This window comes from Homo sapiens, chromosome 13, assembly GCF_000001405.40.
Source record: "Homo sapiens chromosome 13, GRCh38.p14 Primary Assembly".
Classification (NCBI taxonomy): domain Eukaryota; kingdom Metazoa; phylum Chordata; class Mammalia; order Primates; family Hominidae; genus Homo; species Homo sapiens.
This window is the reverse complement of record NC_000013.11, coordinates 97,130,205-97,154,943: the sequence shown is the minus strand read 5'-3', so window position 1 is coordinate 97,154,943 and position 24,739 is coordinate 97,130,205. Positions and strand designations below refer to the sequence as shown.

General features: G+C 42.1%; 1 protein-coding gene and 1 long non-coding RNA gene across 26 annotated transcripts in view, besides 1 other annotated feature; one reads left to right on the top strand and one right to left on the bottom strand.

Moving 5' to 3' along the window:
• The window catches only part of MBNL2 (muscleblind like splicing regulator 2), a 252,287-nt gene extending 239,177 nt beyond the window's left edge, over positions 1 to 13,110 (bottom strand). For 22 of the 25 annotated variants that reach the window (XM_047430004.1, XM_047430002.1, XM_047430006.1 and 19 more), the window contains exon 1: positions 13,037 to 13,110. The gene's annotated coding sequence lies outside the window, so the exon portion shown is untranslated. Of the gene's footprint in view, positions 1 to 12,968 lie in introns of all 25 variants that reach the window. The other 3 variants (NM_001382649.1, NM_001382675.1, NM_001382656.1) reach the window with 1 other exon arrangement.
• On the top strand, positions 1,372 to 17,909 carry LOC124903197 (uncharacterized). Its single transcript, XR_007063844.1, has 3 exons — positions 1,372 to 12,425; positions 12,936 to 14,973; positions 17,869 to 17,909. It is a non-coding gene; the product is annotated as an uncharacterized LOC124903197 (long non-coding RNA).
• Positions 22,045 to 22,569: an enhancer, noted in NCBI's record as "H3K27ac-H3K4me1 hESC enhancer chr13:97784629-97785153 (GRCh37/hg19 assembly coordinates)". NCBI's record gives its function as "activates a minimal SCP1, AML or CMV promoter by ChIP-STARR-seq in primed H9 embryonic stem cells {active_cell/tissue: H9 hESC(primed)}" and the evidence as "EXISTENCE:reporter gene assay evidence [ECO:0000049][PMID:30033119]".

Below are 24,739 nucleotides of genomic sequence, written 5' to 3'. Positions count from 1 at the left end.
CATCGCCTCCTCAATACTATTTGTGCAGTACTCAATATTGGTCCCTCTAATCTTAGAATCACCTCTTTCAGCCAAGGTGAATTTTAGTTGAATCAGCTTGTCTATCCATCCATCCATCCATCCATCCATCCATCCATCCATCCATCCATCCTTATACCATTTATTTATTCAGGAAACATTTACATAGTATCAACTATGTGTCTAGTTCTGCTAGACATGAGGGATAAAGGCAGAGTAAGACTCAAATTCTAGTTTGTGTTGCCTTCCCCGCATCATCCAAACGAATTTAATCACTCCCTCTTTTGTACTCCTGTTGCTAATCCATATGTTTAAAAAATCAGCTGGGTAGCCTGTAATCCCAGCACTTTGGGAGGCCAAGGCAGGCAGATTCCTTCAGGCTAGGAGTTCAAGACCAGGCTGGTTAACATGCCAAAACCCCATTCTCTACTAAAAATGCAAAAATTAGCTCGGTGTGGTGGTGCATGCCTGTAGTCCCAGCTACTCGGGAGGCTGAGGCAGGAGAATTGCTTGAATCCGAGAGGTGGAGGTTGCAGTGAGCTGAGATTGCACCACTACACTCCAGCCTGGGAAAAAGAGCAAGACTCTGTCTCACAAAACAAAAAACAAAAAACAAAAAACCAACGGGTAAAAAATGGGGTTAAAAGCCTCTGTGAAAGCTAAAAGCCTTATTTAAAATTTTTATGAGAATGGGAAGAATCAGTCCATCTCCAGTCTAACTTTTTTTACACATCAAATTCTCTTTTATGACTTTGGGCTTCCAGAGGAAGAAATTCTGTTTATTTCACTTACCAAGTCTCCCCAACTTCTAGACATGTTAGACAGAAATGTTGAATGAATGAAGGAGTGAATGAATGCCTTTTATTCCTGAGCATACTGCACAGTCTGGCAGAATATTTATCCTACAGAAATATTACTACATGAAACAATTCATAAAGTTAACATTTACTGGATAGCACAGACTTAGAAACTCATCATTGGAAGAGAGTTTGGAAAGTCTCTTCTACATAGAAGCATGTCAAAGGATAGGAGTGATATATAGGAGAAATTTATAGGCACAACATGTTTGGAAGCCAGCACATTGACAAACTGTCCAAATTTTAGGAAGTCTCTTGGTAAAGTAGACATGGTCAAGTAGTTGTCTACTTTGTTCTCTCCCCCTTGTAAATGGGCACCAGGACTCTGGGCTGGGTGCAGTGCTTTAAGGTTTGTGGCTGCCAGAGGTACATATTATGCTTTGATCCAATCATTCTGAGACTAGTTAGACCTTCACAGATAATTGTAGCCTTATAAAAGGTTTTCTGTTTTTTCCTAAATGGTCTTTTTATTTCTTACTGTATATTTACTTTTTAATCAAAATTATATGCGTTCATAGCTTAAAAATGAAAATTGTTCTACGAGGTTCATTTTTTAAAAATCCCAACAATCTTTTCTCACCTGTTGCCAGCTACCTTAACTTTTAACTATTTGTTTGGATTATATCTACATGTACCTAAATAATTTGCTTACACTGTTTCTTCTTAATTTTTAAACTCTTTATAGAAGACTAAACTTTTGATTTTTCACTTCTTCCCCCTCCAAGAAAATACACACACACACACACACTCACACACACGCTCAAACACACGTGCATGTGCTCCTCTTTCCACATTCTTTCTACATAATTATATTATGATGTTTGGATTGAGAGACAGTGTTTTACATTGCTCTGAGTCAAGAACACACTATTCACAGCTGAGCCATGTAATGTACTATTATTACATTTCTTTTCTTATACTACATTTTTATGTCCCTGGAGTTAGTAATTTTTTACTTTTTTATTTGGAGGGGTGCTGCTTGGTTTTCTATGTGCCAATTGCTAATTGTACAAACTCTTTACCAGAAATGTAAATCTTCTTATATAGACACATTAGGTCTGCTATTTATTCTTCTTTTTTGAGAGATTTCTCCAGAGCTCTGTCTTCCTGCTCCAATCTAGAGTTAATATTCTCTAGATTTACCACTGAGATGTCATCCTGGGACCTCTCTTTGCCAGCATCCTGGGAGATTCCCTTGGTGCCTGTCTGTACTTGATTACTTGTTTCTTGGATCCAGTGTCTTTTTTCTTGATATACTCCCTCATTTGAGAGGATCTTATTCTCCATTACATTCCTGAGAAAAGGTGCAAGAAAGGTGCAAGAAAAATTTTTGAACCTTGAATGTCTGACAATGTCTTTATTTTATCCTCTCAATTAATTGATGATATGGCTAGGTATAGAATAGTGTATTCGAAATCATACCCTAAGAATTTTGAAGGTAGGCATTGATTATTTTTCTCTTCTTTCCAGTGTGGTATTGAGAAGTCTGATGCTATTCTGAATGTTGATTATTTCTTTACTTTCTGAAAGCTTTATACAATTTTTTCTTTGTCTCTAGTATTTTGAAATTTAAGAATGATGTGCTTGGGGCTTGGGCCTTTTTTATCCATTGTGTTCGCACTTGGCCGTACTTTTAATGTGAAAACTCATGTACTTCACTTTTCAAAATTTTATTTGTTGTATTTCTTGGATTTTTTTTCCTCTCTGTTTTCTCTTTTTTTATGAAACTCTTATCATTTGATTTTAAGCCTTCTGGATTAACACCACATTTTAAAAATATTTTTCCCTCATTCATTTATTGCCTTTTCCCCATTCTAGAAGGTTTTCTGAACCCTATCTTCTAACTCATCTATTAAGCTTTACCTTTTTTGTACGTATTTTTTAATCTCTAGATTCCTTTTACAAGAATGTTCTGAATGTTCCTTTAAAAAGACTTCATCTTCTTTGTTTCATGAATGTAATTAATCTTTTTGAAGTGTTCTCACTGCATTGTCTTTTTTAATTTCAAATTTCTTTATCTCTTTATTTTCATCTCTGACTTTCAGGTTGGCAGATTTCCTAAAATTACTGGTCATCCTTGGTTGTCTGCTTACAGATGAGTGGGCTGATAAAGTGCTGTTGGAAGATCTTTGTAGGTGGGCTTGTTGTTAGATGAAATATACTATATTGTAATCTGGCTGAGCATTTCATGGGGTAACTCATTACTATAAGTATTTCCAGGTCTCCCATATCTTCTCCAACCATTCAGGTTCTTCAGGGAAAAATCTTGTAACCTATTACCTAAAAGGTATTATCCTGGCTGCTTAAACATGGGCATCAAACAAAGAAGGGGGATGAAAATGGAGGCTGTCTGATAGTTTGGTGTGTAAACTTCCATTTAATTTCTCTATTTTCATCAAACCTGAAACTTGAAACCAGTTTGCACAGGCTCACAAAAAGCTGATTGTGTGCATCTCTTCCCAACTCCATGACCAGAGACTTTATGCTGTCCATTTGAAATTAGCTTTGGTGGGAGTATTTACACCACTGCAATTGGCAATGACTACAAATTAGAGCCCTAGTTGCTTCCCAGCTTCCAAGCTGATAGTGAAACATACGCAGAGCACCACCGAACACACTATATCTGCTGTGTATGGTGTTTTCCCATGCTAGAACCCCTCTTTTTTTTAACCTCCTTGAAGAAATATACTTGTCATCATCTGCCAGGGTTGGGGAAAGGAAACATGATCACAGGGTTGTATAGAGTGAGAGAGGGAATCCAGGGTTTTACTGTATTTTAAATATACTTTTAAATCATCCCCTATTTGCAGCCCCCTTTTCACCCCCGCTTTGAAAAGCATCTGCCACCGCCATTCCTGGTTTCTGAAGTGCAATTCAGTTTGCTTCCTGGCTTCACCCACTGATAGCTTAGATTTCAGCTTTCTGGGATCTGCCAAGGCAGTGACCATTCAGCCACCTGCTTTCCAACTTGCAAAGTTAGGCTTCTGTTGCCCCTGCTCCTCTTTGTTGAGGGTTTCTGTCTTTTTTAACCTCTTATAGTCCTTTTAGTAGTTTGAGGGAGCTTGAGTAGTTTCAAGATTGACCTTGAAAATGCAAGGTCAATCTGCCTTTTCTATCCAAAAGTCTAACTGAAAGGAGGATGTTGTGTTAGGGGCAGGCCAAAAGTCCTGAATAGTTCAGAAATACTCTGACTTCCCTGGGCCCTGGGCAGCCCCACAGTCAAGGTTACCTGTCTTGAACTACAGTTAATAACTTTGCCAGGCATGGTGGCTGACAGATGTAATCCCAAATACTCGGGAAGCTAAGGCAAGTGGCAAGAGGATCACTTGAGGCCAGGAGTTTGAGATCAACCTGGGCAACATGGCAAGATCTCGTCTCTAACAATAACTCGTAGCTTTGTCAGGCCAGGCATAAACAGCCCCAATTGTTGGTCAAGACTGCAACTGAGGGCAGGTGAGAACCGCATTGAGTGAAAATGAAGTCCTCATGTATAGGTAAGCATTTGCCTGACTATATTCAAGTCTTCACCAACTGCTATAAACTTGGTAACTCTTTAACTTCCTGAAATTTTACTCTTATTGGCCTTTGTAAAATACATGTTATTTTTTGTCTTAGAAAATTTTTCATGTATCAGGCCAACCTGAAGAGACCATGTGGCTTTGACCCATGACCTGTAGGTCTAAAAACTCGTTAGAATGTACTTGGCAATTGAGAAATAGATAATCTTGCTCCTGCTTCATGTAGCCTCAAGGGTCATACCATTCATCTTGTTAAATTCGGCTTTTCAGCTCCAAAAAGTGAGGAGGCATCTCAGCATGGATAACTCTGAAGAACAAATGGCATTACTGGGCAGATCACTTAACGTAAACATATGGTGGGCAAGTAGAAAGCCTTGCTGATTCCTTTTATTCTGTGTTCTGTGCACCCACCAGCAGTGAGTGTAGGATGGCTGATTACTGTGGATTGGAAAAACTCTCCATTTTTAGTTACGAGATTGGCAACAATTTCTGAGACAAAAGCACGCCTGTTGCTGCAGGCAGCCATGCAGTGCCAGAGCACAATTGGAAAACCCGTTCTAAGTTGTCAGCCCTGACCCTCAGGTGATTTTGTGGTGTGTGATATAGGGGGGTGTTTTAGGCCAATCATTCAATGGATTTCCTAATTTCGCTTCTGGGAGAACGACTCCCCTGCAGAGAGAGGAGGGAGAGGCATCTGCCCTCTTAGGAAATAACTTTCAAATATGGGAACCAAAACAGACAAATGATGCCATTAGAAAAAACTGTAGGGGTGGAAGAGTAAGCTGTCTGTCCATGATCTAAGTCTACACAATTGGAGTTAGAAATCTGCAGGTCCCAACCTCTGCTCCACCAAGTTCTAGTATTAGTTTGTGTTGGGCAGCTGACCCTCTCTAAACCTCTTCCTTCTCTTCTGTAAATTGGAGGTAATAATAAGAACTACCTGTTTAAGCTGCTGTAAAAGTAGGTAAAAAAGGAGGCAAAGCTCTTAGCCCACAGCTAACTCATAAGCTTCTTAAGTGTTTGCTATTATTGGCTATGACTGTGGGTAGCATGTCTGCCCCTAGTCAGCTAGAGTCATACCAAGGTGGCTACTTGTGAAGCTATAGCCCAATGAGGTTTTAGGGGAGCACTGGGGCTGCTCTCTAGCAAGCAGAGAACGACTTAGTGAACCTGAGGAAGATGCAGAGTTGACATTAAATATTTACTAAGCATGCGCAGTGTACGAGAAAGCAGATGAATTTGTCTCCAGGAGCTCCAGGAGCACTTCACTTAAGACAAGGTATTAAACTTCCATCTGAAGCCCGAACATATCATCATTTAATCACTAGTGAGAAGGTACCTTAGGAAGCATAATGTTACGCTTCCGTAATGGCTGCCAAGGCTGAATCTTGTCCTATCACTTTCTCTCCCCTCTGTTTTACACCCACACAGTTCACTGGCAAAGCCCTGCATCTCCAAGATAAACAGCCACAGCCACAGTGGATCTTGGCTTCAGCACAGGCTTGTTTCACCAAATCTACACACACAGCAAACATATTGCGTGGAAAGTCCCCAAGTTCAGAGTTGAGTTGGAGCCTCTGCTCCTGTCTAGGCATTTTTGTGAAATGGAAATGTTCTTGTGTGTATGCATGTGTACAAGTATGTGTATGTTAGTGCATACGCAAATGTACATGTATGTATTCACCCTAGGAATAGAACTAATTAACCCACTTTTACTTTGAATACCAGTAATTATTACTACGGAATTTCATTTTGGATTCCATCACATCTTATGAACGACATTCACTAACTCTGAAAATACAAGGTATACCTTAGCATAAATATATTGATATTTCCCATGGAAGACAATAATGGTGATTTGTCTTTTCTATGATGCTGCCTCTTAGTCTGCATGATCATTTTTTTCTTTTTAAATAGACTTTATTTAGAGTAGTTTTCGTTTCACAGCAAAATTGAGCAGAAGGTACAGAAATTTCCCATACACTCTCTGCCCCTGCTCATGAATAGCCTCCCCTGATTATTGGCATCCCCCAAAAGACTGGTACATTTGTTACAACTGATGAACCTACATTGACACATCATTATCACCCAAAGTCCATCGTTTACATAAAGGCTAACTCTTGGTGTTGTATATTCTGTGGGTTTGGACAAATATATAATGAATGGTATGTAACCATGGGTTGTTTTAATAGTTCTCTGGGCCTTACCAAATTGAAAAAAAAAAGAAAAGCACTCTAACAGAGGTTGTCCTTCTTCTCAGGTCCTACAGGCAGAATTGTCTCAGCTAAGAAATGCAGAGCTACCTTTTTAGGCAGAACATTTGCTAATCATACAAGAAGCCTCTATTTTTTGAAATTTCCTTCCCAGAGGTCTCAACTGGACATTGTGAATAAACACTTGTCTATGTCAGGAGTTTACTGTGCTTTGTTATTCTTTTCCTCTTATGTAACCGGTCGCTCAGCATCTTCTTTCTCAACCATGTATCCTTAACCATGCCGACTCCTCTTCTTTCCAAGGGCAAACCTGTACATTGGCAGCTCAGGGTGAACAGAGCATTGACTGGCGTCTGACTCTGCTGCCATTTCTAGTTGCCTCCCTTTGCTGCCAGGAGCCAGGACGTCCCCCGCCTTCCTCTTCCCACTACTCTCCTGCTCCTGCATTCTGTGTCTTGTCTTTTATTACTGCCCCCTAACTCTGGAACCCACTTTCTTACCTCCTTATTTGCAATCAGCTGCCTCTCTTGCCTTCAGACCATGAATTTCTTCTTTTATCCTCATGAAAACAAGCCTTGGACATCAGGTAAACCAAGATCTGCATCTCCACTGTGTCAGCTCAATGCCATCCTTCCTGGATACCTACACGGACTCTGGCTGTAATGCTATTTCTTTCCTCCCTAGATTTTAAGGACTTAGAAAGCTGTCATTTTCATTGGCTCTATTATATTTTTACAATACCAAATATCTCCTAAACTTTAAACAACATGAGAAATGGATGTGAAATGTACTATTTCATTTACAAGATGAAGAATCAGGTAAATATGAGCATTTCTTTATTTAGTCAGTAGGTAAAAAAAAAATCATTCCAGATGATCAAAGCAGGACCATTCCTAGCCACTGGTGGACTATTGCTTTACACTCAGCCAAAGTTACAGTGCTTGGTGGGGAGGAATGATTATGGAAACAGAGGTAAGGACAACTGCCAATATGAACATACATTCTATAAACACAGCTCAAATTACCTTCATACATTTTGAACTTAAAAATCTCACCAATCGACAGAGAAAAAACATTCCTCTAAGTATCTATGTCTGGAATAATATAAAGTGAACAGACAGTGCATTCAGCACAAATACTGTTCAGTACTTCTCATGCTTCCTGCAACCTGCCTACTTTTCCAGCAACCAAAGGAGCAAGAGAGCCAACCATAGTAGTTCATTAACCTTTTCAAGTTTCCAGATGCTGTTCTTGTCTCTGTTTGGATAACTGCCATTATGTTCTGTTTCCAATGTAATCTTGTATCTAACACTCTCTTCCAGATACTGTTGACCTCTGCCATATTCCTACCAAAGTATACAAAACAAAAAGAGGTCTGCTGTGGTCCATAGCATAGCAGGAACCCCCCATGCCATTCACAGACAGATCCAATGGGAGTTGCCTTTTCAACTGAGGGATGGCAGTATGGTTTTTCTTGAGAGGGAAACATCCAAGCCAGAAGTAGCCTGCAGGGCTTCTATTTGGTTTTGCCCACCTCATCCATCAGTGCTCTTGTTGGGTCACTGGCCATGGTCACCTGGGAACAACACATCCTGAGCATCCCAGATAGCTGCTTTTTGGCTTTGGGTAGGAGGGAAGAATAGCCATGCATTATAATGAATATTCTAGAATGTGGCTTTGGATTCTGAACAGGGGAAAGGCTTCTCTAAAGTCAGAGCTTCAGGCAATTTTTCTGTCTCAATTATCCCCACAAGATTAAGGTCCTTCCTTCCATACAATCCTCTCCATAGGTCTTTTGTTCCCCAGTGTGCTTTCTGAAAGCCCACCAATCAAGTGAGATCCCTGGCCAACAGCACTCCTTCTGTGCTCATTTTTCATTCATAGGTAATATTTGTAAGCTACAAACCTCATTTCATTCTGAACAAATACATATGTTCATGCCTAATGCTTGGATGGAATGTTAGTGAAGTGTTGTGGGGTTTTTGTTCACAATAGACTGGATCTGTTGTTGGCAAAACTCTTTTAGAAAGTAGAACCTGCTGGGCGCGATGGCTCACGCCTGTAATGCCAGCACTTTGGGAGGCCGAGGCGGGAGGATCACGAGGTAAGGAGATCAAGACCATCCCAGCCAACATGGTGAAACCCCATCTCTACTAAAATATTAAAAAAAAAAAAAAAAATTAGCCGGTTGTAGTGGCACACGCCTGTAGTCCTAGCTACTCGGGAGGCTGAGGCAGAATAATTGCTTGATCCAGGGAGGTGGAGGTTGCAGTGAGCCAAGGTCATGCCACACACCACTGTACTCCAGCCTGGTGACAGAGTGAGACTCCGTTTCAAAGAAAAGAAAAGAAAAGAAAAGAAAAGAAAAGAAAAGAAAAGAGTAGAACCCTGTCTGCAAGTAAAACCTGACATGGAAGCCTGCTATACACATCCAATAAAAATGCAACTGCTCAGGTGAGAATCAAGGTAGATCAACTGCTTGGTCTGCCTTGCCTTGTTTCAGGGAGCAGCCCCTGAGGGAACCAGGAAGAAGCCTTATAGCACCAGAGGGCAAGGGCTCAAGAACTCAGAACTAGACCACTTGGCAGGCTCTTTTCTGCAACAAACTATTATTTCATAATATAGTTACACTGTGCAGTTCCAAACACCATCCAATGCCCATATCTTTTAGCTTTTTTCAACGGAAAAATAATGATGGCTTCAAATATATAGCTTGAGGAATAAGTAACAGAATACGTGCTGCCAACTAGTTATGAAATAAAGTATGCAGTTAACATCAAGGCCCATGCCCTCACTTCATATGGCAAGTTATCACTGCAAGCTACTGGGCACCTGCATCCTCAGACACCTAGGTTCTTTTTCCTTGGACACTTTTCTCTTTCTTCTCATCATCCTCTCTCTTGCCTCTTACAGTCCCTTTTGCTCCCTCCTTTTCTCCATATCTTCCCTGACCTCTCTTTTCTCTCTTTCATTACCAATTCTTTCTTTCTCTTTTCTTTCTTATCATGTTGCTTTTTTTAGCCTTTGTTTAGCTTCTATCTGCTCCTTCAGGATCAGTCAGGCCTGGTCAGGTTACAGTGCAATAACACACATCTCCCAAATCTCAGATGCTTAAAGCAACAAAGTTAATTTTACAGTCCTTCCACAGGCCCGTCACAGGTTGCTCATTGGAGTTGTTCAGGGACCCAGGCTGATGAAGCAGCCATTTTCTCAAATGTTGGAGAGAGAGCATGTAGGGAAGCCTGCGTTCTTTCCTGAAGCTTCTACCTAGATATGAAATATGCATCACTTCCCACATATTTTATTGCTAAAGCAAATTACACAGACAAAATTTAAATTGGTGGGGGAAGCACAATGCTACCATGTGCCTGTAAGTTTAGAGGGTTCAAATATTTGAAATTCGCCTAATGAGTACCACTGTCATTATGTAACCTTCACAGCTCTATGTCAGGGTCCTTCCGAATACTTTGCTTCTAATGTTCTTTCCCTCTAGCCCTGCACCTTGACCTCCTTATTTGTTCCTATTTGAGATCTTCCTTATTTCCTCCTCATCCTCCGCCGTCATGTGGTGGCTGCACCAAGAGTAATTATAAGAAGTATCACTAGGCTGGGCGGGGTGGCTCATGCCTGTAATCCCAGCACTTTGGGAGGCTGAGGTGGGCGGATTACCTGAGGTCAGGGTTTTGAGACCAGCCTGACCAACCAACATGGAGAAACCCCATCTCTACTAAAAATGCAAAATTAGCCAGGCGTGGTGGCACATGCCTGTAATCCCAGCTACTCAGGAGGCTGAGGCAGGAGAATTGCTTGAACCCGGGAGGCAGAGGTTGCAGTAAGCTGAGATTACACAATTGCACTCCAGCCTAGGAAACAAGCACGAAACTCTGTCTCAAAAAAAAAAAAAAAAAAAAAAAGAAGTATCATGTCTAGAGGCAGGGAGAGGAGCTTCATGGTTTTTAATGCACAATTTCTGGGATAACATGGTTATAGTCCTCTAAGCAGAAGAGAAGGCAGTATCAGGATCCTACGGGTATCTGGCCCTAGCTCAGACCCCTCCTTCATGGAGGTGCGATCCTAGCAGACTCTGCTCATTCCCAGCTGTTGCTGCTAAGGCGAGGTTTCTGAAGGCTCAGACAGAGCAGCCGCTCCCTTTTCCCACTCCACGTGGCACCACATCAATAATCATTTAAACACAGCCGGGCGTGGTGGCTCATGCCCGTAATCCTAGTGCTTTGGGAGGCCGAGGAAGGCAGATTACTTGAGGTCAGGAGTTCGAGACTGGCCTGGTCAATGTGGTGAAACCCTGTCTCTACTAAAAATACAAAAATTAGCCAGGCATGGTGGCGGGAGCCTGTAATCCCAGCTACTCGGGAGGCTGAGGCAGGAGAATCACTTGAACCCAGGAGGCAGAGATTGCAGTGAGAGGAGATCATGCCACTGCACTCCAGCCTGGGTGACAGAGCAAGACTCTGTCTCAAAAAAATCAAAACAAACCAAAAAACTCATTTAAACACTCTTCCTCCATAGCCATCATTGAACTATCGAAAAATAAGTCAGGGTAAAACCATTCCCATTATACTTTATACATATAGAGAAATTAAATGAAGCAAAAATAAAAGAGAGTTTACTCAGTATCAATCATAGTTAGAATGAATCCTAGGAAGTAACTGCATTGTAAAATTATACGGAAATCCGTAAGTTAAAGTTAAATCTTAGCTGTCAACAAAACATCATCTGTGAATTAAAGAAAGGTGAGTACATTTACTTGAGTACAAACATTATTCATTTCATCTGTACCAGGGACTAGTAAACCAGAAGCCAGCAAACCTATCATACCTGCCTCCTGTTCTCCACCTTGCTGAAGAGTCACATGCAGTTTTGCATGTTAGACTCCCCTCCTGGATAGATTTCAACGGCACAGGGGTTTGGGGAATTTAGGAAGTGTTGATGGCAGGAAGGTCCTTCAAAGAATTCTAACATGTTACCAAGAGTGCTGAGACCCAAATCAGCTAATGGCTATGTGGTATGATCAAATACAAGTTGGCCTAATATTGGGAGTGGTTACAGATAAATAGCTGCTTATATGAGATGACAAAGGACATAGGGAAGGTTTTCAAATGCTTCCCTCAGTGTTGACTATGTTGACAAAACTTTACAACTAGAGAATTCTTCCTTTAGGATTTTTTATTTTTATTTTTTAGTTTTCAAGAAGAACCAGTAAAAAAGAAAATATAGCAGGGAGCCACAACACTCATTTTTAAGCTATTATAAACCAACACCATATTACAGAGGTAACTGACATGATAAATCTGGGCTAGGTAGCTAGGTAGGAAGTGAAGAGTTCATGGTCCTAAGAGGATCTGATCCGGTGCTTCTTGGGAAATGGGAAAGACTGAAGACAAGACCTGCTACCTTCTCATTTTTTTGTTTTTTTCTAAAGAACAGCTCTGATTTTTCTCAAGGCAAACTAAAAAAAAGTCTAAGATAAAAAAGCAAAACCCATCTTCCCAAAGTTGCATGTTAGTTGCATTCCCTGAGCCCCTAGCTATATCTGAGATTTCCCTTTAGGGAAATTCCACAGGTTACAATTCCTTGGGTAGGGTCCCTTTAAGTTGTTGGTTAGAGACGTGGGACAGGAAGCGGAAGCGGAGGTCAGGCTGAGAGGAGATACCTAGGAAAGCCGGGGCACAGAGCAAAGCAGCCGTGGAGGCGTGCATGACCAATGCAGAGCCAGCCATAGACTCTTCCAAGCCTCCTTCGAGGAGGCCAGTGTGGGGAGGTGGAATATGTAGGGATGAACACCCACACTATGTGTGGAGGTATGTTTCACTTTAGGTTTTGATGAACTAAGACCTAAGAACTATCGAGTTTTCACAGTAGTTCCAAACACTTTCAAATACATAACCTAGTGGAGATTGTTTAGACAAGGTCCTTGCCTTCAGCATTTGATGATTCTATTTATAATTGAGAAATCAGAGGTGAATCTATCGTCTCAATAATTATGACAGGCGAAGTTCCATTCTTTCTAGGAAATCAAGCACTCCTGGTTAATGAGTTTTTAGAATGCAGAATTAATACCTTATCTTTTCTAAACTTTCATATTAAATCAACAACTTTCTACTGTTTTATATACAGCTAAGAATAAATAAGCACAGTTATAATAAGCATCAATTCTCATTAAATGAGAAAGCTTTAATTTAATTGATAGAGAAACCCTCTGAGTTTTTACCCCATTAGTTTTTCCCTTTTCCCTCTCTATCAATTTCTATCGGTTGCTAGTCAATTTTTTTTCTTTTTTGTTTTGCAAATTAACCTTCTCTCTGGTTCAGTTCCTTAGGTAAAAAATACTAGCAGTGCCTTACTTTAGGGAACTGAATATTCTGAGCTATAGCCAAGGAGAAAAGGTGATCACACGGTGGCCTTCCTCTACCTGGGTGAATGTTCCAAGGCTCCTCAGACACAGCTCTCCATTCTCTGCGCAGCCTCTGCCTTCCATCTGCCTCTGAACAAACAAACAGCTACAGGCAAAGTAGTAGCTCGCAACTCCAGTTTTGCATGGGAGTGACTCATGTCACAGAGAATGTGAGTCATTCTCTGCTCCAGGGGAGTTTACACTCAGGCTTAGCACAATCGTCCTTTTCCCTAGCCCTCCTCCCTTCCCTGCAAGCTTTGAGGACTTTGAACTCCATAAAACGATCCTATAGAATAAAAGAGAGTAGTGACAGGGTGTGTGTGTGCAAACTGTAGTGTGCACAGAGGCACCAAAGAAGTTGTAGACCTAACTCATCTGCAATTAAAGACTGCAGAAAAAATATGTGAGCTACTTTTAAATGAAGAATATTCAGCATAAAGAACAATTGGAAAAATTCAAACATGTATTATCTCCTCTCAATAAATACTATTTCCTCAAAAGAGCTGGCACAGTTGGCTGGGAGCGGGGAGCATTTTCCTACTCTTATGAAGATGGTTTATATTTGATTTGCATTTCAGATTTTTTTTTGTAAATTACTGAACATACATCATGTAGTCAGACCCATCTTAAGAAATGCCATCCTTCCTGCCATCCTAGGCACGCTCTCATGAGACTCCCTGCAGTGAGAGCTTGTGTCTAAATGTCAGATGTAGGACAGATATAAAGGACAACTTTGATCACAATTCTGGGCCAAAATGATTACCTTTTGGGTTCTTCTCCTATAATCATCTTTTTTCAGAGAGCTTGTGGCTTATTCGTTTGCTCAAAATAAAGCACATTATTTTTCATAAGAGAAAAAGAAACTGAGCTTATGTGATCTAAAAGTGTTAAAGTATAGCCAATATGTATTATTAGAAGCAAATATGTTCTTTTTATAAAAGACAATGCAAAAGCCTTTCTAGACATTATTTTTGTCAGAATCTGCCAAAGAAAGAGAGAGAGATGGGCACAAGGAGTATTTCTCAGACGCCAAATCAAAGAGAAAAATCTTAGGAGAGATAAACATTATGTCATGTTTCTGAAACTTCCTGATTATACTTAAAGTAGACCATCTGTCCCCAGTGACGGAACTCACTGGATGAGACCTTGAGGAATGTAACTCTTTGTAAAATTTCTGAAACATTGAATTTGCTCCCCAGTAGTCCAACTTTGTAGCAAATCTGTTACCCAGATGTAAATTTAGAAGCATCCGAGTTCTTGGCTCCCTAAAGGAAGAATTTCAATTTAGAAGAGGCATTATAGACTCTAACAAGAGAAGAATGGCTCAAAACCTAAATTACCCCAAACAAACCGGGATGCAACATAAGGGAAGTAAGTGGAGAATTCAGCATTAGGGAAAGGTGAATATGAGCTGCTCTTACCACTGAGAGAAAAATACTGTTACTGCAAACAAAAATGAAACTCACAAATATGATCCAAATGTTAAATGTATGCTCTGGTTTTGAAGAACAAATTCATTCCTCACTAAGCATTTTCCTAAGCGTCATTCAGTACATGCACAAACTCAAACTTGACATGACATCTACCAAAGGCGTGTGTGTGTGTCTGTGTGTGTATCTGCCTGTATATCACCAGTCTTCTACAAAGAGGCAGATGGTACTAGGGAAAAAAAGCTGACAGAGAACCGCAATATAAATCGTGATACAATTCTTAAGTTGAGTAAAAATGGGACAGGAGAATCGTACAAAAATTCAGCAAGAAAAGCTTGAAGGAAAAAAAAAAAAAACCGTGGAGGAAATGGTGGAAAGCATCAGGAAGTGGAGCAAGCTTGGAAAAGTGAAGTGGGAGAAATGCTGAGTGACAGATGCCATGGACCTGTAAGGGAGGCAAGAGGATGGGTCCAGCCTATGGAAGAAAGCAGAAGAAGGGAACAGCCACTTGTGAAATCCCAAGAGGTAAGAGAGATAGAGGAAGTGATGGCTGAAGGTCAGGAATGTGGCATCCTCCCTGCCCACCACAGCTGCTGCCTCTCCCTGCTGTGATGGGGCTGAATGTTGGTAGTGAAATGGATTGATCAGCCTCCCAAACGTGCCTCATGGAGGCCTCTGGCTGTGGGGATCTTTGGAGTCTCAGGCAATATTCCCTCCATGTGCGTCTGAAGCTGGGCCATGACACACAAGGAGATTCTGTCCGCTCCTTGCACAGAAGCCCTCTGAGTGCACTTGGACATGGTGGTTTGAAAATCAAAAAGACTCCCCAAAATGAATCTGACATGTTCACAATGTCCCTAATAACCATTGTACTCATGGCAATTATCCCCTAAAGAGGTTTTATAAATCACTACATTGCTTTCACACTGCCAAACCAAGGTTGTAATTTTCCATTTCATTAGATTTATCATAGTTATGATAGTTTCATATAATGAACACCATATACCCATCACCTAGAATTTTAAAGTGTTAGCATTTTGCTGGATATACTTTAATTTTTTAATGTAGTATTTAAAGTAAATTCAAGATACTACATTTTACTTCTGAAGACTTTAGTAGCATCTCTATAAACTAATCTTGTTCTATATAATCACAATACCCATAGGGCACCTAACACAATTAATAAGACCTGCATATCATATCATCCCTGTTCTCTATTCAAATTTCCCCAGTTGTTGCCCCAGTGAGTTTTATGACTCATTTATTCAAAGCAGAAGCCAATCAGTGTTCACAAATTGCATTTACTCATTATATTTCTTTATTCTCTTTTAACCTCGATCAGCCCATCCACACCTCCTTCCCTGCATGTTTCTTTTCATGTTCTTGACCAGGAGGAGAGACTAGCAGGGGTCTTGGGGAATGCTCTACCTTCTGGATTTGTCTGATTATTGCTCATTGAGTCATTTATCTTGGTTCTCTAACCCCTATATTTTCTATAAACCGGAAGTTAGATAAAATTTATTGTATACATTTGGCAAAATGACTGCACAGATGCTGCTGCATACTTCGTAGCAAATTGCATCAGGATCCACAGGTGGTCCTATTTTTCGTGATGCTGAAAGTGATCGCTGGGATAAGGTGATGGTAACCTGATCAACATAGCTAGCATAATCCTACCTCTTAATGCTCAAACTTGCCAAATAAACTGCCCACTGGCAAAGTTTTCTGTGCTTATAGCAGTCACAAAGCCCAGGCCAAAGTCTCCCTTGGCTCCTTTGTCCCATGCCCCACCACTCTCCCCTTTCTTGGACCCTTCCCATTGGGCTAGACCAAGAGACCATTATTCTGTTTCTTGTGCTCGTGGAATGATTGGCAGCAATAAGGGCTAGCATAAGTATCCAGTGAAGTCGAGTAGAACTCCAGCACCTAGTGTGCCAAAACAGTAGGTATATTTAATGAACTAATTAATATGGGCTAATCTAGTTTGATGGGAGAGTGGAGGGTGCTATGGACTGAATGTTTGTGTCTTCCACCAAATTCCCATGTTGAGGCTGGGCACGGTGGTTCATGCCTGTAATCCCAGCACTTTGGGAGGCCAAGGCAAGCCAATCACTTAAGGTCAGGAGTTCAAGACCAGCCTGGCCAACATGGTGAAATCCTGTGTCTACTAAAAATACAAAAATTAGCCAGGCGTGGTGGTGCACACCTGTAATACCAGTTACTCAGGAGGCTGAGGCATGAGAAATGCTTGAACCTGGGAGGCAAAGGTTGCAGTGAGCTGAGATTGCACCACTGCACTCCAGCCTGGGTGACAGAATGAGAATCTGTCTCAAAAATAAAAAATAAAAAATTTCCATGTTGAAACCTAACCTCCAACATGACGGTATTTGGAGGAGGGGCCTTTGGAAGGTGATTAGGTCATGGAGGTAGGATTAATGCCTTGATAAGAGGTCCCAGAGACTTTCCTGGCCTCTTCCCATATATGAGGACACAGAGAAAGGATAGCTATTTAGGAACCAGGAAGTGGGCCCTCACCAGACACCAAATCTGCCGATGCCTTGATCTTCAACATCCCAGACTCCAGAACTGTGAGAAATAAGTTTCTGCTTGTAAGCCACCCAGTCTATGATGTTTTTGTTAGAGCAGCCTGAACAGACTCAGACAGAGGGCATAAAGCAGAAAAGAGAACACAAAGGAGTGGACATTTTATGGGAAATGGAGGGATGAAAGCCAACATTTTTGGAGACTTTTTTTAGACTTGTAGCGTCATGTAGTATGGTAGCTAAGAGTTGAGACTCTAGAATCAGGAGACCAGGATTCACACTCCAACTGTCGTCTTTTCTGGCTGTGTGCTCCTGGGTACCTAATGTAACATCACTGGACCTTGTCTTCTCACCAGTAACTGCACATTAAGGAGACTTTCCTAGTCTGGCTCCTTGGCAAATAACGGTATGTAAAGTTCTTAGCACAGTGCCAGGCACACAGGAAAAGATCACCATATAGAGGTTGCTACTATTGCTAAATCCAGCAAGGCATTCAGCAGTCATTTGCTGGTGCCTATTTTCCCATTAAACTCTCACAAGAGATGTCTTGGGAAAGTCTGGAGTGAGGGAAACCCATTAGAATCAGTCATTGTATGGAAGTCAGGAGTTTTGGTCAGAAATTCCCCCAATCTGACCTGATCCAAGTGATATGGCTTGGCTCTGTGTCTCCATTCAAACCTCATCTCCAATTGTAATCCACAGGTGTTGAGGGAGGGACCCAGTAGAAGGTGATTGGATCACGGGGGTGGGGGGTGGGGCGGTGGTTTCCCCCATGCTGTACTCATGATAGTGAGGGAGTTCTCATGAGATTCTGGTTTGATAAGTGTCTGGTGTTCCCCCTGCTCACTCGCTCTCACTCTCTCCTGCCTCCATGTAGGACATGCCTTGCTTCCCCTTCTGCCACGATTGCAAGTTTCCTGATGCCTCCCCAGCCATGTGAAACTGTGAGTCTATTGAACCTCTTTCCTTTATCAATTACCCAGTCTTGGGTAGTATCTTACAGCAGTGTGAAAACAGACTTACACAGCAAGTATGGGTCAGAAATAGGTGCAAGAACAGCTAGAATGGAAAACTGTCTCTTCTTTAATGACATGGGGCTGGGGGCTTCCCAGATGCAGAATTGCCTCTTGCTCTTTTCCACCATGGGGATTCTAGGGGCCTGAAGCTCTCTCTTTTCCTTTAATCTCCTTGGGGAATACTTTCTGTATTCAGCAGGCCTATGGGTGACGTATGGCACACACCAACATCAATGGAACGACTCCTCAGCTCAGACAGCCTAGGATGCCAAATGCCAGGGAGAAATGTGGGAGTGCCCACTGCAGGGTGCTTAGGGGGTTTGGCAGGCAATGGGATGCTCTCCTTCTCCTCTGCAATGACTGGCACTAGACTTCCTGGCTCAGTGCGTGCCTCTCAAACAAGAAACCTCCTGTTCCTTTGGGACTTTCATAATGTGGTATTGCATTTCAATAATCAAGGCACTTTTTATTCCATAAAAGGGAAAGTCAATAACTTCTACCACTTACAGTTTTACTCTGATAGGAATTAAAGTTGAAGCTTTTCCATTTCATTGAGCCACCCACAAAAGGGAGAGAGAAAAGCACTGAACTCTTCAGAAAGCCCACGTTTGAGCAAAACAACCAAATAAACATTCACACTGCAGCTTTAAGATAATTTTCCTGAGTTCCACTTTTAACTTTCAGTGCAGCTTGTCAGGAGGCTGATCTCCTTCATTTGGGGCAGGTTCTATAGGATATAGCTCTCGAAAGAATGAGATACAAGTCAGCAGATATTTATTAGGCACTTATGACATTACCAACCTTAGTTACCAGCCTTAGGTGAATGTCTCCCAGGAGCTTTAGAAGGCACTTGAATCATGAGACATTTCCCCCATCTCTGAAAAGCATGAAGAATGCGTGTGGGGAGGGTGAAGGGCTTGGCAGAGAGAAAGAGGACACTGAAGGTGATCAGCCCCTCTCTCCACCTCCAGCATATTGGGAAGGCATCCGTCTTCATCTCATTACCAACTCGTCAAAACAGCACCATCTGGTCACCTGTTTTGCAGAGGCAGCCCCCATTTCCACTTTTAACAGCATTGCATGGAGCAGGGGATAGTGGGGGAAACCAGTGGCTGGGAGTCCTATGCCACTCTCAACATGAATGCTTACAGGTACGCTGGCACACACTACCAATGAAAAGGCTTTTTTAAAATAATGATTCATTGTGAGTGGTTTCCTTCAATTTTTTTAATAAAAATCACTAACTATTTTGGTCGCTTTTAGGGCTTCTGATCACACATTCTGCAGACTCCTGGAAGCCTTAATAGCCACTAGCCTGTACAGTCCATAGGAACATGATCATTTTATTTATTGATCTCTCTCCATCACCTAAGCACAGTTCTGGGCTCACGGAAGGTGCTCAGCTGTTTCTTGCGGGAATGAACAGAAATGGTCATTAACATGAAATGAAGGATTCTATGATTTCTTTCATTAATTGAATGCTTACTATGTGCCAGGGATTTCTTTCCCTATGTTATTTCACTGGCTTCTCTCAACCACAATATGAGGTAGCTATCCTCACTTAAGCACGAGAAAAATGAAGACCACAGAGGTTTCACACAGGTCGAAAGTGGTGGAGCTGATATTTAAATACAAGTCCATCTAGGCCCAAAGTCCAAATTGTAAACACCATGAAAAGAAAAGGCAAAAGCTAGGGAGAGAGAAAGAAAAAGTGGAAAAATGTAAATGTTATCTTTAAAAAACTTTTTTTTTTTTTTTGAGACAGAGTCTCACTCTGTTGCCCAGGCTGGAATGGAGTGCTGTCATCTCAGCTCACTGCGGCCTCTGTCTCCTGGGTTCAAGCAATTCTCCTGCTTCAGCCTCCTGAGTAGCTGAAACTATAGGTGCATGCCACCACACCTGGCCAAGTATGTTTGTTTTTGCTTTTGTATTTTTAGTAGAGACAGGATTTCACCATGTTGGCCAGTGTGGTCTCGAACTCCTGACCTCAAGTGATTCACCCGTCTTGGCCTCCCAAGGTCCTGGGATTACAGGCGTGAGCCACCGCATCTGGCCATCTTTAAGAGACTCATAACCTCTCTAGAGCAACAAGACACACTCTCATGAAATAATTAAATAATGCAACACGCAGCACAATAAGTTGCCTAAAACAGTCACTCAAGTTCAGTTAGCAAATGCTAAGAGAGGTCAAAGCTGGGGCAGATGAATGCCACTGTGTATAATCAGGGAAGCAGTGAGGTTTCAGGTGGGCTTAGAAAGCATTATGCTTTCGATGGGAGGTACTGTGAGAAGCGGACTGTGGTGGGGTGGAAGGGGTACAGTGGAACCACACTAGCAGATATGCGGCAACTGGTGTCATTCAGTTTTAACATGCCTGGCCTCACTGGAGCGGGTGCTGAGTAACATTGGGGAATTACAGTATGTAAGGGGGAGAGGTGGGGAGCAGAAGGGTTACAAGCTTGGTAGACCTTCAAGGATAAGATAATGCATATGGATTTAGGCAGAAGAAGCCACCGAACACCTTGATCAAGCAAGTACCGTGGTGAAAGCAGAGTTTCAAGAAGACTTTCAGGCGGTGGGCAGGATTCACTGGAGGCAGGGGCCTGGAGGCAGAGAAAGCCTCTGATTTTTCAGTCTCCAGGGAACTTGAGGAAAAGCGGAATGTCTCCTTCACTTAGCCACACCTGAGGGCATGGACAGCTCCATGGAGAAGCACAGACATTTGCCAAGGCTGGGACCAGGGTTAGATGTGGGTAAATATTTGCTTTGCCTCAGCTGGAGAAGATGGAATTTTAATAAAGAGGCAGCGTGACTCATGTCACAGAGTGTATCAACAATTCTGGAAAGAGCCACTCCAGAAAATGTCAAATGGCAGGCAGTCACTTGATGAGCTTCCAGGAAGGACCCCTCTGACACTTGATATACACACATGCGTGCACATGCACACACAGACACATGCACACTCATATACATGGACACATATACACGCACACATATACACACTTAAACACATTCACATGCATACATATACATTCACATACACATTCACACATGTGCACTTTCAGTGGCACCAGCACCACTCTGACCTGTGGTGTCACTCTGGGTCCAACAGCATCTCCTGAGGATACCTTGCTCTGCTCTCACACTTGTCCCAGAGCCCTTGCAGATGCAGCTTTCCTGAAAGCAGTGCCGTGTGTTTGGTTGTGATTATAGGAGACCAAGGGCCAACTGGACTGTGCCCTGTGACACTTTCGCAATGAAATCTACCACAGCATCTGCAGAGGGCAGAATTCTGAGGTGCCCCCCACCCAGGGTCTGGCCTACAGTGTCCTGCCCTATGTGATTCTCCTCCTTAAGGGCTGGTGGACCTGGACTTGCTTCCAAGCCATGGAATATGCAAAGGAGATGGGATGTCACTCCCATAATGATGTCCCATCACTATATATATATATGACTTGCAAGTAGAGAAAGAGATGCTCTCTTGCTGGCCTTGATGAAGTCAGATGTCACATCATGGAGAACCAGTCAGAAGGCCGATGGAACCCAGGGTGAGTGGCCCCCCCAGCTGAAAACCAGCAAGAAAACAGCCACCCAGTCCTACAGCCATAAGGCGATGGATTCTGTCAGCAACCTGACAATGAGTTTGCAAGTGCATTCTCCCTTGGTCAAGCTGCTGGATGAGAACATGGCCCAGCCAACGCTTTGATTATAGCCCTGTGAGAGCTGAGCAGAGGGTCCAGTTAAGCCATGCTGAAACTTCTGATTCAATAAATTGTGAGACCATAGATAAGTGTTGCATTAAGCCACAATTTAGTGGGAATTTCTTGTGCCATAAGAGATAATTAATACAGCCCTCATCTTCCCATCTTCCACAGGAAGCCCAATATAGTTGTGTGATATATTGGGATACAGATCCCCTTAAAAAAAACAAATAAAAAAACCTGGAAGGTCGGAGCACAGTATAATGTTAAACATGAGAATATGAAGGCTAAAGTTGTCACTAACTGACTATGTAACTTGGTCAAGTGATATTCTTTCTCTGGGGCCCAGTTCTCTCCTGAATTTGATAGAATGAGGTGAGATGGTCTTTAAGTTTTCTTTCAACTCTAATAGATTCTGATTTATAGAACTGATGATCGAATGAACAATGTGGAGCATCTATTGGTGTGGCATGCTGAATGTTATTATACTTTATCTCATTTCAACTTCAAAAAAGTGCATCTTTGAGATTTTTACTGGAGTGCCTTGTAAAGATAAGTAAACTGAGGTTGAGAGAAGTTTAAGAATTTGCTCAAGACCACAAGCTCTAAAGTGGGAGAGTGGGAAATCGGACTTTCGATCTTTCGCTGGATTACATGCGCCAGAGCCCAGGAGAAAGTCTATTCAACTATCTCACTAGAAGCAATCAGGGAGAGAGAGGGAGAGAGAGGGAGAGAGAGGGAGAGAGAGGGAGAGAGAGGGAGAGAGAGGGAGAGAGGGAGAGAGGGAGAGGCAGAGAGGGAGAGGGAGAGAGGGAGAGAGAGAGAGGGAGAGAGGGAGAGAGAGAGAGGGAGGGAGGGAGAGAGAGAGAGAGAGAGAGAGAGAGAGAGAGAGAGAGAGAGAGAGAGAGAGAGAGAGCGAGCACGAGTGCTCAGAAAGGGGCTTGGAGTTGCAAAAACCGAGTAGAGGGCCATGTAAGTGGTAATTCAATCTGACAGCTAAGACTGAATAGACTGCCAGTGGTGGCTTTGAAAAAGTTAAATCATCAGGAAAGTTCATCAGAGGTCATTTTAGAGTGCAGAGAAGGAAAGAAATTAGGAATTTAGGAGAGTATCTTCCACCATGCCCTAAACACCGATTGTTCTAAATTGTTTTTTGTGGCCTAGACCTCTCTCCCCAACTCCAGACTTATCTCTGCAGCCCTCCTGGTGGTCCCAATTTCCAACTTATCATATTCAAAAACCAAACTCATGGTTTCTGTTACCGAAGGCACCTTCGTTCTTGGTCCTTTATCCTGGTAAAATGATTTATCATCCACCCATAGGGTTTTCAATCTCAGCAACCCCCTTTGCTTATTTCTTGTGTCTTACTCGTCACACAGACCTGTGAATTTCACCTCCCAAAGGTCTTGAGTCAATCTTCAACTCATTATCTTAACTCAAATTTCCATCGTTTCTCTACTGGGCTATTTCAATGCCTCCTCACTAACCTCCCTGTTCTTCAGCCCACCCCTTTACTCCTTTCGTAAACAAGTTCATTTTCCACACTGATTCCAAAGTGAACATTCAAAAATGCAAGTCACAGTTACAGCCCTGTAAAGACTCTCTCCAGCACTAACCGGATGCATTTCAAACTCCTTGATATGGCATGCAAGACACTTGCTATCTGGCTTCTGCCTCCTTCTGCAACCTCATCTCCTACCACACTTCTTCTCATCCACTGAATTCTACCTTTGCTTATTGATCGTTCCATGTTTGTGTTCCTTTGCTTATTCTCTGCAATGTCCTTCTAAGTTTTGTCTATGTACTCATCTTTTCAAAGCTCATGTGTCTCATCTCCTAGGATGGGGACCCCTCCCAGAGCAGCTTCATTGCACATGGGGACCCCTCCCAGAGCAGCTTCATTGCACTTGCGGACCCCTCCCAGAGCAGCTTCATTGCACATGTCCAGAATATTATTCACATTGTATCCTAGGGGCTGTAAGTCATGTAGAATATCAGATACATAACCCCGCTAGAGGTGTACAGTAGGGCAGTACTGCATACCATCCTAAGTGAACTTGATCTCTCTCCCAAAATGAAGTCAATCTGGGAAGATATTTGTTTCCTTCTCTAGACATTAAGGTAAGCTCTTTAAATATAAAGACCATGTCTTATTCATCTTTGAATTCCTAATGCCCAACACAGTGACCCATGAATTGTAAGCTCAAAATAAATCTTTGCTGAATGACTGAATGAACAGTAGTATGCAGTCTTCAAGAATCAACATATGAGAGGACAAGAACATAAACTATCCATTCAGATTTAGAATCCAGAAGAAGGGACAGGATTTTGAGTCCAGCTTAAGTTGGGCCCTTCTGATGCACACCAAAGAGAACAATGCCAACTAATTGACTGGAATGCCATTAGTCTGATGATGTTGGTGCAGAAAAATAGAGCCAGTTTTTTCCAACTGCTTTTGATACACATACAAGGTATTTTTGCCCTTGGTGAAAATCTCAGTGGGCTTGATTCCAGCCACATGGAATGGATTTTTTTTTTTTTTTTGCCAACTTAGGAAAAACTTGGCCATTTCAGCACAATCTAAAACATGTCTGTAGAAGATAAATCAGTGTCTAGGTAGCTTTCTGGAGAAATGTAGGTAAATACTTAATTGTAGGTAAAATTTCCAAGACTAGGATAGTAGGAAAACTTCATTTTATTTATATATTAAGAAATCAGTCTTCCCATCCAGCCCTGTTTCTTCCAGCTGAACAGCTGAGTACATGAATTTTAGACTGCAGTAGAATCAGAGACTCTCCAGGGAATTTAAACTCAGTCACATGTCCAGAAACACATACATCTTCATATTGGGAAATAGGTTATAGAGTTTCTAGCCTTTCCCAGTTGGATATGGGCACTTTGGGGTGGGGCAGGAGAGAGAGAGAGAGAGATTATTCCAAGGCCCTTAAACTGGTCTGGTTTATTATAGAAATGCCACAGTCATATGCTCTGATACGATGTAAACCTACTGTCTGAGAAGAGTAGCTTCAGA